Here is a 15,489-nt window from a genome sequence, read left to right as displayed (position 1 = left end):
AAGCCCAGACCCCCAGATGCCAGAGCCTGAGCTTGCGCATTGTCTGTAAAGTGTTGGTTAGGCACATTACTAATATCAATGAGACTGCAAGGCAGATGCTCACCCCATTTAACAGGCTAATTACAGACACGTTTTGTCTTTATATTACATAAAGCACAGTGGCCCTGGCTCTCAGGACTGCCGGCACCCTCTCTCTGGCCAAGGTCATGTGGACAGCCCCTCATGAGAAGATCTGGACCAACCAGTGCTGAGCACATGCAAACTCTTTTCAGACATAGGGCCATCTGCAGCAGCTCAGGGAAGTCAGAGCCACCTGTGGAGAACTCCAGCACCCCAGGCCCCTCCCACATACAAATGGGGAAACTGAGGCCCAGAGCGGGAAGTGCTTTGCCCAAAGTTACATTTTGAGTTACAGAGCTGAGACCTGATGCCAGGTCCCCTTCCCCAGGTAGGTGCACTCTCCACCCTCCCGGGAGGTTTCCAGGCCTCCTTCCCCAGGTGGGTGCTCCCTCCATCCTCCTGGGTGGTTTCCAGGTCTCCTTCCCCAGGTGGGTGCTCCCTCCATCCTCCCAGGAGGTTTCCAGGCCTCCTTCCCCAGGTTAGTGCTCTCTCCATCCTCCCAGGAGGTTTCCAGGCCTCCTTCCCCAGGTGAGTGCTTCCTCTGTCTTCCCGGGAGGTTTCCAGGTCTCTTTCCCCAGGTGAGTGCTCCCTCCGTCCTCCCAGGAGGTTTCCAGGCCTTCTTCCCCAGGTGAGTGCTCCCTCTGTCCTCCCCTGCACTGCACCTCAGCGCACCTGGTCAACATAGACCTGGGATTCAGACCAGAGTCCTCACATGCCTCGCCCTTGTCCCCATGGTGAAGTTGCTGTCAGGATGCTGGTGAGCCACTGGCATGGACAATGTCATACTGCCACTCTGCCTCCATTTCCCATTTTCCTACGCATGGGGTCCTGGGGCCAACCCATCACGGGTCAGAACCTGGAACACATCCTCTGGGTTCACAGCTAGCCCTCACTTGTTGGTTAAATGAGGAAATTGCTGGTGCCTCTCAGCACTTCCTCTGGTCTTTCCTCTCAAAACCTGTTCTTTGATGCTTGAATTTCCTCCTGAGGCCTCCCTGCACTCCTCCCGGGCTGTGAAGCTGTGGAAACTCACCAGGTCTTTTCACCACGAAGTCCTCCCCCAGCTCCTAAATCCCCGCTGGGCCCTCTGAGTTTCTTCTGCTTCAGTCTTTGCCTCCCCATACTCTCTCTCTCTCTCTCGCTCTCTCTCTCTCTCTCTCTCTCTCTCTCACACACACACACACACACACACACACACACACACCCTCTAACAAGTTACCTTCAGGGTATTTATAGACATGGCAGGTCCCCAGGGATCCACTCTTTGGCAGACCGCCTCTTCGCACAGCCTCCCAGCGGCTGCCTGCCTGGGCAGCGTCTAATTAGCCCGCTGCCCTCTGCTCCCGGGCTTTGATGTGCTTCAGACTTTCCAGGCAGAAGGTACAATTTGGAGGCCTGACGTCCCGCAGGCAGGAGACTGCACCAGCAAATCTAGGTTGATGCTAGGCTAATGAGCTTGTTTACCATCTGGATTCAAGCTGCATTTCTTAGTGATGGTGGGGAGACGTGCGTGTGCATGTGTGTGCCCATGTGTGTGTGGGTAGTTGCAGGAGGCACATGTTCAAGCAAGACCATTTTGTTTAATGACCTTATTTCTCACTTCCTCCTCCCTTGTTGAGTAAAAATTGGATGGGCTGGCCGGGTGCGGTGGCTGACACCTGTAATCCCAGCACTTTGGGAGGCCGAGGTGGGCGGATCACAAGGTCAGGAGATCGAGACCATCCTGGCTAACATGGTGAAACCCGGTCTCTACTAAAAATACAAAAAAAAAAAATATTAGCCAGGCGTGGTGGCGGGCACCTGTAGTCCCAGCTACTCGGGAGGCTGAGGCAGGAGAATGGCATGAACCCGGGAGGCAGAGCTTGCAGTGAGCCGAGATCGCGCCACTGCACTCCAGCCTGGGCGACAGAGTGAGACTCCGTCTCAAAAAAAAGAAAAAAAAATTGCCTGGGCCATGATGAAAGGCATTAGGAGTCTGAAATGCACTCTCCCTTTCAAAGCTCTGCAATCCAGCCAGACTGGCATTTTGGAGCGATGGATGTGTGAAGAATGGGAAGCAGTCTCTGGGGGATGAGGAAGTTGGGAGGGTTCTGGACTCCTGGTTTTGCCCCGGGCAGCTCTATAGCACCCCCCACACACCTCTTTTTTCTCTCTTCTTTTAAAACATTGTGCTAAAATACACGTAACTCAAAATGTACCATCGTAAGCATGTTTTAGCTCAGTGGTGCTAAATACATTCATGCGCTTGTGAAACCACCACCACCCTCCATCTCCAGAACCCTTTTCACCTTGCAGAACCAAAGCTCTGCACCCACTAAACACTAACTCCCCACTGCTCCCTCCTCCAGCCCTGGGCACCCACCATTCTGCTTTCTGTCTCTGTGAATCTGAGAACCACGTATCAATGGAATCATACAGTATTCGTCTTTCTGTGACTGGCTTATTTCACTCATAATGTCCTCAAGGTTCATCCATGTTGTAGCGTGTGTCAGGATTTCCTTCCTCTTAATAGTTCATCATGTGCAATACCACGTTTTGTTTGTTTGATGACACTTGGATTTATCCATGATCCATGTCCATCCGTGGTGGACACCCGGGTTGCTCCCACCTTCTGCTGTCGTGAATCACACTGCAATGAATAGTGGCGTACAAATACCACAGAAGGCCTTCGTGATGTCCTGTGTCACTTGAAGATGAAATGAGCCGCCGGAGACACATTCGTAAAATGAACGGGAAATGAAAGCCTTTGCCTGGCTACATGGGGGTTTCCAAACTGACCCTGGGGCCCTGGGGCTCCTGTTCAAAGGCCCCAGAGAGCGGAGGCGGAGACAAGCAGGACTTGGCCCAAGCGCCCTCACCTCCACCCAGAATCACCCCCCTTTCAATCCCTCCTTCATTCCAATCACATTTTTATTTCCTTGTGCTGAGGGACTGGGCATACAGCAGGGACAAACAGCCCGCAGGCCCTGCCCCTTATGGAGGCTGCGTGCTAGAGGAGGAGGCCTGTATATGGCACGTCCCATGATAGCCACTGAGGAGAAGAAAGATGCTGTGAAGAAGGACAGGGAACGTCAGGGGTCGGGCCAAGATGGTGGATCTTGTAGCCAGGAAAGTCTTCACTCATTAAAAAGGTGATTTTCAAAAAAAAAAAAAAGGTTTTTTAATGGAGAAGTAATTCACATGCCGTAAAATTCTCCATGTTAAAGTTTGCAGCTCGGTGCTTGACAGGCTATTCACAAAGCCGTGCGTCACTGCCCACCACTCTCTCATTCAAGGACACTTTCATCATAAAAGGTGGCGTTGAAGACCTTGAGCCGGACGCCTCCTGCTGGCCCCTCCGAGTGCTCTCCCTGCCCTGGGGGGCTGTCCTGGGGGGGGAGCGAGGGCACGCGGATAAGTCCCTAAGGTTCCCCGGGTGGAGGCACCAGCAGGAGAGCGGGGGAGGCAGAGGGTGAGTGGGTGTCCACGGCCCCAGCCCTCCCACGGGACTGCTGTGGCTGGCCGCATCCCTTGCCTGGCGGCCACAGTCCCCCCCATACAGCCTGTTCTCTCCAGGGTACAGTGGCTTTCCCGTCCCCGTCCCCGTCCCCCTCCCCGAGGCTTAGGGGCTAGCTCCCGCGGTTTCCAGCCCTGGCCACTGCAGTGTCCCTGCAGGACTCCGTCCACACCTCTGTAAATAGCCTCTCTGTTAAACTCGTCTCAAGCTGCCCGATCCAGGGGTACCAGCTCTTCCTGCAGGAAACCCGACGCCAGACACTGATGGAAATGAGAGGGCCGGCCACGCAGGGGGAAGCAGGCAGACACAGCCGCGGCGCGGACTGCAAGCTCGGGGGTCAGCCGCACCGATGGGGGGCGCGCCTGAGGCACCCAAGGAGCAGCGGGAGCCCGCGCCCAGAGAGGCGCGGTCAGGAGAAGCCAGCTCCAGCCAGGTGGGGCCTCGTGGCTGTGAATTTGGTGGCATTCATCAGCTTCTTAAAATTTGTAATTTGGAATGATTTTTAAAATCAAGCCAGCTCCAGCCAGGTGGGGCCTCGTGGCTGTGAATTTGGTGGCATTCATCAGCTTCTTAAAATTTGTAATTTGGAATGATTTTTAAAATCAAGCCAGCTCCAGCCAGGTGGGGCCTCGTGGCTGTGAATTTGGTGGCATTCATCAGCTTCTTAAAATTTGTAATTTGGAATGATTTTTAAAATCAAGCCAGCTCCAGCCAGGTGGGGCCTCGTGGCTGTGAATTTGGTGGCATTCATCAGCTTCTTAAAATTTGTAATTTGGAATGATTTTTAAAATCAAGCCAGCTCCAGCCAGGTGGGGCCTCGTGGCTGTGAATTTGGTGGCATTCATCAGCTTCTTAAAATTTGTAATTTGGAATGATTTTTAAAATCAAGCCAGCTCCAGCCAGGTGGGGCCTCGTGGCTGTGAATTTGGTGGCATTCATCAGCTTCTTAAAATTTGTAATTTGGAATGATTTTTAAAATCAAGCCAGCTCCAGCCAGGTAGGGCCTCGTGGCTGTGGTCAAAACTGTGGCTTTTCCTCTAAGGGAGATGGGCAGCCCTGGGGGCTTCGGAGCAGAGGGAGGGAGCCACAGGGTCTGACTTACGTTTGAAAAGAGCCTTCGGTTGCTGCATTAAGAATAGATGATGAGAGGCAGGGTGGGGAGGCCCGGTACCAGACAGGGGCCCGCAGGAAACAGGTGGGAAAGCTGGTTTCCAAAGGACTCCTTGGAAAGGGGTGGATGTAGGGGACGCAGGATGCAGCCCAGCTGTACCCCCTCCTCCACCAGTCAGGGAAGGAAGCCGTCGCTGGAGCCTGAAGGGGAAGTGGGCAGAGGCAGCCGCCTGGAGGCCGGCGGTGGCCTTGGGCTGAGAAGGCCTGGTTTTGAGGCTTCCTAAGTATGTCTAAGGGGCGCACAGGACACAGGCCGCCAGTGTGTCTGCGAAGGACGGAGCTTTCCAAGCCGCTGTCACGCTTGACACAGTAGAGGGAGGCGAAGGCTTTCCGGACAGGGTGCTGGAACCCCGTGGGGGCAGTGGGAGCTTGTATAATGTGGGAGTGGTTACCCATAAAAGAAAAATAATGCAAATCCCAGGTACAAACATAAAAATAAAAGTGAATATTTATTATCGAAAGCAGGATCTCGAGAGATATTTGCACACCCGTGTTGACGGCAGCATATTTCACAGTAGCCAAAAGGAGGACACCACCCCAGGGTCCATCGATAGAGGAACGGATGCACAAAATGAGGTCTATCCACACAATGAAATATTAACCCATCATTGGTCACCCCCAAAAAGTAAGGAAATTCTGACACACGCGGCACCGTGGGTGAACCTTACCGACATTGTGCTAAGTGAAATGAGCCAGTCATGGAAGGACAACTATGTGATGACTTCCCTTCTGTGAGGTCCCTAGAACCGTCAACATCAGAGATACAGAAAGGAGAGTGGTGGCCGCCAGCGGCTGGGGGAGGAGGGAACGGGAGCTAGTGTTTAATGGGTTCAGAGTTTCAGTTTTACAAGATGAACGAATTATAGAGATAGATGGCGGCGAAGGTGGAGCAACATGATTAATGTATTTAATTACACTAAACCGTACACTTAAAAAGATGATTAAGATGGCACATTTTATGCCACAATAAATATTGGGCCACAATAAAAAAGTTGAAAAAAGGTGAATATTTATTCAGTTTTAAAAATCATTCCAAATTACAAATTTTAAGAAGCTGGTGAATTCCACCAAATTCACAAAACCTAGAGAAGTTACATTCTTTTTATGTATTGACTGCCCAGTGTGCCTCTGTAGTATTTTTTCTAAATGTGTTTGATTTGTAATCCTCAAAACATGTACAAAATTTATGTGAAATTAAGGCATTCATAGGAATCATTTAGATGCCTTTAAAAAATACATTGTATTCAGCCACAAAACTGTGCCACCAGATTACTCTGATACTACAGCACTGACTTATTGATGAATCTGTGTAGGAGTTTTGTCATCAGAACACTTGCTTCTGCAAGCATTTCTCTGCGTTGGTGGCAATTTTGCTTACCATTTTGCTGGAACCACCAGATTTTGTGAAGACACAGTGCACCAGTTACACTAAGAAAATAATCTGATACGGGGACTGCATAAAATCTATGACTTCACCCCCGGAGAACCCATGTGGTACTACTACTGGTTTGGGCTCACAACACAAGAATTTTGATCAATTCTAATTTGTGTAACTCTCATCAGAACACAAAGCAATGTACGGTGTAATTATATTCTTTCAATATCCACTATTTTCCTAACAGGAGAGAACTTCTGTCCTGGCCAGGCCTTGGTGAGAACCAAATCCTCCACCAACGATGTTACCTGTGTGGCTTTTTGTAGATTTTCTGCAGATGAGCTCCTGACTGTTACTTTGCCCTCCCCACCACACATGGCCAGGGTGGGTGTGACAGCGTGCGCTCACATCACGGCCCAGCCTCTCTTGCTGCATCTGCTGGTGGGATGTCCTGTGGGATGAGTGTTCCTGGAAGCCCTGCCTACACTCAGCTGGAGGTAACTTCTCTGTACAAAGAAGTCACTGTGAACCATGTCAGCATATCCCACTAAGCCCAGATTAAGTGTTTCCCCAGCTCACTTTCCTCTTAACTGGATCCCCCAAGTGCCCTCAGCCACCCAAACATCATCCAACTAAGAGTCCCTCAGACGGAAGAGAAGTTGGGATGGAAAGAGACAGACAGTCTCAACCGGTTATGGTTAAACTATCTCAACTTTTGCATATTTTACAAAAACATTTGGCCACAGGAACACATTGCTAGGGCCTCTCCGGGAAAGGGGGGAGTCTGTGGATTCAGGGGTCCTGAAGCTTCATCAGTTGCACAGCAAATGCGTCCCCAGCCCCGCCCACGAGCAGCTGAGATGTGGAGGCGTGGGTCCACTGACTTCACCTATGACCTATGACCTGTCCCAAAGGCACCAGGCCTGGAAACACCAGCCAGAGTCCCAGCTCTGCCCCTGGGACTCCCCGGGCCTCAAGAGCCTCTGCCAAGCAGGGATGAGGACACACCCCCACCTCAGGGTCAACAAGAGATTTGTGGGTCAATCAGAGTACTGTGCAAACTCAGCTGCTGTCCTCTGGCCATAGTCACAGCAAGCCCTTCCTGGGTCCAGAAGGTGGTTCCACAGGAACGGGGCTGCCTCTTTAAAGCAGAGGGGTGCACTATAGCCCTGAGGGAACCAGCTGCAGTTGTGGTAATCTTGGGAGGCAGCTCCCCACCCCCTGCCACCCCCTCCCTGCTGTCAGGAGAGGATTAGAGGAGAGGCCAGCGGATTAAAGGGTTTCATGTTGCCACAGCCTCTCCCCCAGTCCCTGTCTCCGAGGCCTGCTTGCTAGGTGGGGCGACTCTTCTGTGAGCTGCAGCTGTGGGGCAGAGAGAAGCCCTCCCCACCCAGGACTGAGAGGCTGGAGACCCCAGGCTCGCCAAGGCACGGAAGACAAAGGCCTGGGGCGTCCTGGGGTCTGGGAGGAAGGCAGACAGAGCTCATGGTCTGTGGCTGCTCTGCCCTCCTTCCCCTCCCCAACCCCAGGCCCACCATGCCTGCAACTCCCAACTTCCTCGCAAACCCCAGCTCCAGCAGCCGCTGGATTCCCCTCCAGCCAATGCCCGTGGCCTGGGCCTTTGTGCAGAAGACCTCGGCCCTCCTGTGGCTGCTGCTTCTAGGCACCTCCCTGTCCCCTGCGTGGGGACAGGCCAAGATTCCTCTGGAAACGTAAGCATCACGTTCAACCCCACCCCAAAAACCCGGTCACCCTTTCCCACTTTCTTCCCGGGCTGGGCCTCCATCCTCTGCCCACTCCTCCCGCCCCTGCCCTCCCTCTGGGCTTTTCCCCAGTGGCTGCGACTGACCACTCTCTTGCTGTAAAGCCCTTTGCTTCTCCGGCCTCCTCTTTCTCCTCCCAAAAGCTCTGTGAGTTCTGGAGTCCCACCTGCCTCTCCCCAGGAGCCGGATGGCTTTAGGAAGAACTGATCATCAGGGCTGCTGTCTTCCTGGCCTGACAAGCAGCTTCTGGGACACCTGAAGGGCGGGTGCTCCTTCAGGATAATCGCTGAGATGAGGCAGCCTGGAGGAGCCGGGTTATCTCAGCATCGCAGCTCCCCGAAGCATTTGGCAGGAAATGCGTATTTTGACATTCCAAAAAGGGGAAGCAGTTCTGAACCCACAGAACGTCTCATGCGCACAGGAGGTGGCTTGTCCAGGAACTGGGGAAAAAAATGGATTTTGGTGGCCGCAGTCTTCCCTTTCTACACCTTTCTGCCTCCTTCCAACCTTGATTCTCTAGCCGGCCATTAAGACCGGCTCCAGGAAAGAACCCGGTATCAGTCATGTGCACCTTGGTGTACATGTAAATTACTGTGCAACCTCTCTGGGGTGTCTGTGTTTTAGGCCCTAGCTCAGGTGGTCCTAGGAAGGAAATTTCCAATACATGTGGGTAGCAGAGCCTTCTAGACTGTAGGTGCTACAGACCCCATCCTGTTTACTCCAGCCGCTTGAGCCCAGCACCATAGCCAGGCCACCAACAGAGCCACCTGCCAACTGCATGTCTTAGCAGGAGTGGGGACAGGGAGCCTAAATGACACACCGTGCCTGTGCTTAGCCTTTGCTGACCAGTGGATTAGGCAGCATCGTTTCCCATCGAGCCGCATAGCTCTCCTTGTTCCCTGCCTGGCACGGAGCTGGGCGCTTCACAAATGACACCGTTAGTTTGCAGAGCCATTCAGTGGGGGCTTATTTTTATCCCTATTTTGCAGCTGAGGAAACAGAGGCCCCGAGAGGTCAGGTGACTTCCCCAAGTTCACAAGGCCAGGAAGTGAAGGTGCTGGGATTTGAACTCCTGTCAGCCTGGACTGCACTTTCACCATTACACCCGCCGCCAGCCCGTAACGCTATCTGTTGCTGCAGGAGATGTTCAGAACAATTTTCATCCCCAGAACACACACCAGCTGATAGGAGAGGGCCAACTCCAGGAGTGGGCTGAGGGCCAAGTCGGGGTGGCTGGAATCCAGGCCTTCAGGGAGGGGGGCCCCAGCGGCCATCTATGCAGAAGCCCTGGGTGCTGCCAGAGACAACAGCCTGCACACAGCCTCATCTGCCTGCCCAGGACTTGGCCCCACCTGTCCTCACTCCCGCCGAACCTCTCTTCTCAGTCTTTCCCTCCAGCCGGGCTTCCACCTCCTCCCAAGTCTGTTTCCACAGGGTTCCCAAAGCCCTCCTCATGCCCAATCCAGGAGACATTCCTGGCCTTGTCACCCCAGACCCTGTTGCTTGGGACACACAAGCCCCCGTCTTCTTTTATCCCAGTCCTTGACTTCCGTGGCACTGCGCTCCGCTGGGCCTGCATGGGCACGGCTTATCTCTGCTGTCCTCAAGTGCTCCTCCTCCTCTGCCTGCCCCGGAGGTGGGGGGTGCTCCCCAGCAGCTGTCGACGCTCAGAGATCTCACGCTGCACACTCTCCTTGAGAGAGCCCTCCTGCCCTCAGAATTTCAATCCCTACCTTTGCATCAATGACTCCCAGCCCTGTCTCTACCTACTAGACACATACCCAGTGCTTATGGGCAGCTTTTCCTAAACATCATGTGAGGTTTTAAATTCAGATTTGTGTCTTTCAAGGTAAAACACAATTGGTGCCTTCTAGAGTTGTGCAGTGCACAACCTTCCCAATGGTACTTGGTAGCTCTACAACGGGAACCTCACATTCAGCAGAGCCCAAGGTACACACATCACTTTTCACCCTCCTCAGCTCATTCCCCCTGCCCTTCCTGATAGTCTTAATTGTATTCAGTAACAACACCATCAGGTCAACAACCCACACTGGAAGCCCGGAAGTCACGTTTTACTCCTCCAAGCTCTTCTGTACTCCCGACCTAGAATCCTCTCCCAGACCCCTTTGCAGGCTAACCTCTACCAAACTTCTAACCTGGAGCTCAGATCTCCCTCCCCAGGGAAGCCTTCCCTTATACCACTACCCCTCCCCAACCTTCATGGGCACCTTCAAACATGTACTATGCTACCCGCATGACAAAGCTGTCCCTGCAAGGGTGGGGACTGTGGGGTGGCTCCAGGCTGCCACATGGTAGGACCTTGATAAACATTGGTTGAGTGATGACTGCTGATCTTGAAAGGATCGCACAGGCAAACCACTTCCGCTCCATCTGGAGAGGCTCAGCCCCAGCCCTGTGTACCTGCCCCCAGGACCCCACCAGCCTGGCCAAGATGGTGGGATTGTGGTGCATTTCTGGGGCATGGGCGAGAGGTCGGGGCTCCCCACTAGGCTGCCTACACAGAGGGTGAGGTGTGGCCTCCTTATGCCCTCCTGGCCTGCCCTGCCCTCAGGCTCAGCAGTGGCAGCTCAGAGCCTTTTCCTGCTGTGCCCTTGCCTCACGCGTTCTCTGAGGTTTCAACAGAGGGTTCGGCAGCCCCCAGTGGCTTTGAGTGGAGTGCACTGGAGGGAACGATTTATTGAGAGGCCACAGCTGTGGCCAGGCAGGTTGTCCTTTGTCCTCAGGGTCCTCCGGCCCTGGCCTGAGGCTGTCCACTGCCTCTCCCCTCCTTCTCTCCTCTCAGTCTGCCACTCTCCAACCAGAGGCCCTGGAAGCTTGGGGTCAAGCTCAGTCCTGGGCTCGTCAGCCCGGCCCCACAACCCTCAGCAGGAGAACCTGCCGAGGACATTCAGCACACAGCAGTGCAGCCGCTGGGTCCTGAGGGTTCTCCGCGTCTCCTGCCCAGGCCATGGCTGTAGCTTTAGGGACAAGGAGGAGGGACAGGTGCTCTTTTGTGTGTTTCTGGGCATATGTCACGTGTGTGTATGCATATGCATGTGTGTGGGGGGTATGTATGTGTGTGTACGTGTGTGTGCATTTCTTATGCATTATGTGTCTGTGTGTTGGAGTATGCATGCATCAGCAGGTGTCTGTGTGTAGACACTGGCTTTCTATGTGTGTGAACCCATATGTCTACGCGTGTGTTTCTGTATTTGTGCGTGTACGTGTGTGTATACGCGTGTCCTTTCATTGCCTGGCAGAGTGAAGCTATGGGCTGACACCTTCGGCGGGGACCTGTATAACACTGTGACCAAATACTCAGGCTCTCTCTTGCTGCAGAAGGTCAGTCACCCCCTTCCAGAGAGCCCACCGGGTGGCAGAGGGCAGTCAGCCATCGAAGCCCCCAAATGCCGGTGCTGTGAGGGGCCTTGGGCATCCCATCAAATCGGTTTATTTCAGATGGGGCCACTGAGGCCCAGGGAGGTGAATGATTTTCTCAACTCCCAAAGCAGGGCAGTGGGGGTGGTTCGGGGGCGTGGTCAAGAGCATTGTGTCAGGTCCTCAGGGAGCAGAGGCCAAGGTGGAATTAGACCTGCAGATGTACTGGGTGGAGGTGGGGTGAAGAATAAAGGAGAGACGGAGGGAGTGGATGCAGTGGGATGCAGGCCTAACACCTGTGATGCCAGCGGAGACTTGGAGGGCACGTGCAGGGCCCTGGAAGCTGCTCGGGCCGTAGAAGGTGAAAGGGCTGTGGCCTCTGCGCAGGGAGACCTCCCATACCTCCAGCTGTCAGCCCCCGAGCCATGTCCAGCATCCGCCCCCTTAATATGCATTGCTTTCTGTGCCGATTTATGGCTGGCTGGTCTTCTTACCAGGTTATAAACAACTTCACTGTTCTCTAATATTTGTAACTCCCCAGAGCAGTTCCAATGGCAGCTCACCCTTCTCTATCATTGCCACTCACTAAGAGCTTCATTGTCATGATTTCATTCCCACCACCAATTCATGAGGCACCTTTTCCATATCACAAAGATCCTGAATCCCAGGCTCTTATGCCTGCATGTGACCACATGTCCCTGCTCAACTGCCCTGCCCACAGCCCCCAGGCCTGTCCCTGGTGGAAGTAAGAGGAGCCAGGGTGGGCGGCTCCCCGGGCCCCCACAGGCCACTGTAGCGATGACAGCTGAGGCCCCGCCTGCCCCTCACAGCACGCTCCTATGCTTCAGAGCACCACAGCCCGGGGAGAGGAGCATAGAGCAGTACGGATGTGGCCGTTTGGGGTAAAAACATTCTGTAAAATCTGTGCATTCTAGAACATTCACTAAAGCTATGTAAATGTCACATCTTACAGATGAGGAAAGTGATTGACTGGCTTGCCTGTGGTCACACGGCCAATACATTGCAGAGCTGGGTGAATAGACATTCACAATACACAGTCAGTGAGAGCTGGTCTCCCCTGGGCCCAGAGAGAAAACCCAAACCCCATTCCAGGCTTTCCTGGGCTCACTGGCAATTGTCAGGCAGCCATCCTCAGTGCCTGGAGCTGCTGAGCTCTGCTGGGACAGTGGGAACTGAGGTTCACATCCATGTGCACGGGGGCACTTTCATAGCAAGATGCCTCTTCTGGGACATTGAGGAAAGGTGAACTGATGCCAGGGGTGGTTTCACAAGCCCTGGGATGCAGCGTGGCTCTGCACAAAGGACATGGCTGGGGATGCCTGAGAGACCTGGCCCCATCAGGGGTCACCTGCTCACCTGGCTGTTGACCTTGGTCAAGTTCACTGACTTCTCTGAGCCTCGGTCTACTCCCCTGTTAAGGCTATAACTGCAATGCGTCTAGAGCACCTGGAACAGAGAGGATATTTGAGGAGAGGCAGCTATTCTATCACTGGGGATGTTGTCCAGGGAGGAGAGGGCTGGGCCTCACCCTAGTTGAGTAAACCAGGCTCCATGTGCCGGAATGCATCTGTGGAGAGGTTGGAGGCCATGCATACACAGGTGCAACTATCCTGGTACAAAACCACATGCACGCATCTCTCCCACTTTCCCCAAACAGAAGTACAAGGATGTGGAGTCCAGTCTGAAGATCGAGGAGGTGGATGGCTTGGAGCTGGTGAGGAAGTTCTCAGAGGACATGGAGAACATGCTGCGGAGGAAAGTCGAGGCGGTCCAGGTACTCCAGGCCTGTGATCTGCAGGGCGTTTCTCCCCAGCCCCATGACGCAGGTGGCAGAGTGACCCTCCCGATGTCATGGCCCTGCATCCTCCCCCCTCGTGACCCTCTCCTATCTTACAAGATTCCGCCTTGTACCTTCGTTAGCCAAAAGAACCCTCACTCCAAGAATCCCTGTGAAAGAGGAAATGACAGGAAGCAAGAGGAGAGGGGAGGGGCTGGGATCAGAGCTCTGCCCCGAGGCGGCCATGCCCAGCACTGCCGGGTCAGCCTGCAGCATTGTGAGGAACTCTGAGTCACCAGGCCATACCCAGTGACCAGTACAGAGCACTGCACGGGGTGAGCACCTAGGAATTGCTTTGGGAATGGATGGACAGAGGAGCAGAAGGAGGGTGGGAGTCGAGCTAGCTGGAGCCAGCAAAGCCAAGCTCCCCCCTCCCCTCTCCTCCTTCTCATCTGTCCTCATTCCTCCCTCACCCTCATTCAGCCATCAGGACCCACCTTCATGGCTTCCAAGTGCTCTGAGGGCCACCCGGGCAGCAGAGGTGCTTACAGGGATGGGCCTTGTGCCCAGGTGACTCTGTTACTGGACATCCACCAAGCCTGGTGGGGCCCAGGAGAAACAGAAGCTTTCCCCTTCTCTGGGGTGAAGTGTCTGCACTGAGGCCTATGGGGACCTGGATGGTATAAACCAGTAGATACAGTGTGGTTGGAGAGACACAGTCCTCCACTCCATCCAGCCAAGAATCGGACCATCCAAGACCAGTGCTCTCCCTGAAAGGACTCGTAAGACCAGCCAGGAGAACAAGGAGAGAGGAGATCGGGAGTGGTTGGCTGGATTGGGAGGCTGAGGCCAGGGCCAAGCAGCAGGGGAAGGGGCAGATAGGGCAGGCGAGCTGCGGCCTCTCCAGTGTACTGTCAGTGTACCCCCACCCCCATCACAACCCCCACTCTGGGAGGAGGCCGGGGTCAGGGTTGCTGGGGCCTTCTTTCCCACTTGTTATAATGTGCAGCATTTCTGCAGGGCAAGGGATCTTAGCATCAGGAACCAATGAGAAGATGCCTGGGGACTCAAGAGCCTATCCTGGGTCCCTGAATCACACACCACAGCAGGAAAGCACTAGCCTCACACACAGCCTGGCACCCGCAGTAACACCTGCCTCTTTCAATCAGTGAGCGTTGTGTAAACAGCCTCCTTGGATCAAACACAGACAGTGGGGTATGAGACTCGCCTGACTTCAGGCGTCGGTCCTTGTGTCACTAGAGCAGCGAGCAGTCCTGAGACACCCCCAGAGGCTGGGGCTCCAGGCTCCCTGTGCCCTTCCACAGCCTCAGAGACCAAAGAAGTGCTGCTCTGCAGACTTTCTCTGAGGACCGGTCCCTGCGCCTCCTGCGGGTGGTGTATGGGGGCCTCAGACCTTCCATGAGGGTGCGCGTGGGAAGTTTCCTGCAAAGCCTCCCTGAAATGAGCTTTCCCCTGTGGGATTTCCTTATCCTAGGATCTGTAGGCTGAGAGTGGGGAGGCAGGAATTATCCTACCCAATTTATAGTTGTGCAAGCAGAGGACCAGAGAGGCTTAGTGGCTTGGCCCTGACAAAGCCAGAATAGGATCTTGGGTCCTCTGACTCCCAAAGCACTTCCCCCACCCTGACTTCCCCTGACACTCTGCGATGCTGGCCTGCTCTTTAGAAAAAAAGAAAAAAAAATTGTGCCAGGCACGGTGGCTCACGTGGAAGGCACTTTGGGAAGCCAAGGCCGGCAGATCACGAGGTCAAGAGATCAAGACCATCCTGGCCAACACGTGAAACCCTGTCTCTACTAAAAATACAAAAATTAGCTGGGTATGGTGGTGGGTGCCTGTAGTCCCAGCTACTCGGGAGTCTGAGGCAGGAGAATCGCTTGAACCTGGGAGGAGGGGGTTGCAGTGAGCCGAGATTGCACCACCACACTCCAGCCTGGGTGACAGAGTGAGACTCCATCTCAAAAAAAAAAAAAAAAAAAATTGTATTGCGGTAAAATACAGGTGACATAAAGTTGACCATTTAAAGTGTATAATTTAGTGGCATTAAGTACATCCACAATGTTGTACAACCATCTCCATCATCTAGTTCCAAAACTTTTTCATCGCCCCAAACAGAATCCGGTTACTAAGTAAGCAATCACTCCCCTATCCCCTTCCTCTTAGCTCTGCAACCACTATTCTGCTTTCTCTCTATGGATTTGCATGTTGTGGGTATTTCACATAAATGGAATCATACAATACGTGACCATTTGTACCTGACTTATTTCACTTAGCATAATATCTACAGGGTTCATCTGTGTTGTTCCATGCATCAGCACTTCATTCCTTTTTAGGGCTGCATAATATTCCATTGTGTGCATAGCCCACATTT

General features: G+C 53.7%; 1 protein-coding gene across 5 annotated transcripts in view, besides 2 other annotated features; it reads left to right on the top strand.

Annotated features, from left to right (window-relative positions):
* The window catches only part of CACNA2D4 (calcium voltage-gated channel auxiliary subunit alpha2delta 4), a 126,690-nt gene continuing 118,668 nt past the window's right edge, over positions 7,468-15,489 (top strand). For all 5 annotated transcript variants that reach the window (NM_172364.5, XM_047429897.1, XM_011521041.3 and 2 more), the window contains exons 1-3: positions 7,468-7,873; positions 11,185-11,266; positions 12,981-13,097. In NM_172364.5, the coding sequence (NP_758952.4) occupies positions 7,647-7,873; positions 11,185-11,266; positions 12,981-13,097 (426 nt within the window). In that variant the 5' untranslated portion in view covers positions 7,468-7,646. The remainder of the gene's footprint in view (positions 7,874-11,184; positions 11,267-12,980; positions 13,098-15,489) is intronic.
* Positions 8,819-9,395: an enhancer, noted in NCBI's record as "H3K27ac-H3K4me1 hESC enhancer chr12:2025891-2026467 (GRCh37/hg19 assembly coordinates)". NCBI's record gives its function as "activates a minimal SCP1, AML or CMV promoter by ChIP-STARR-seq in naive H9 embryonic stem cells {active_cell/tissue: H9 hESC(naive)}" and the evidence as "EXISTENCE:reporter gene assay evidence [ECO:0000049][PMID:30033119]".
* Positions 13,051-13,551: an enhancer, noted in NCBI's record as "H3K4me1 hESC enhancer chr12:2021735-2022235 (GRCh37/hg19 assembly coordinates)". NCBI's record gives its function as "activates a minimal SCP1, AML or CMV promoter by ChIP-STARR-seq in primed H9 embryonic stem cells {active_cell/tissue: H9 hESC(primed)}" and the evidence as "EXISTENCE:reporter gene assay evidence [ECO:0000049][PMID:30033119]".

This window comes from Homo sapiens, chromosome 12 (assembly GCF_000001405.40).
Source record: "Homo sapiens chromosome 12, GRCh38.p14 Primary Assembly".
NCBI classification, from domain to species: Eukaryota; Metazoa; Chordata; class Mammalia; order Primates; family Hominidae; genus Homo; species Homo sapiens.
Note: the sequence above shows the minus strand (reverse complement) of the source record. Positions and strands in the feature narration are given on the sequence as shown.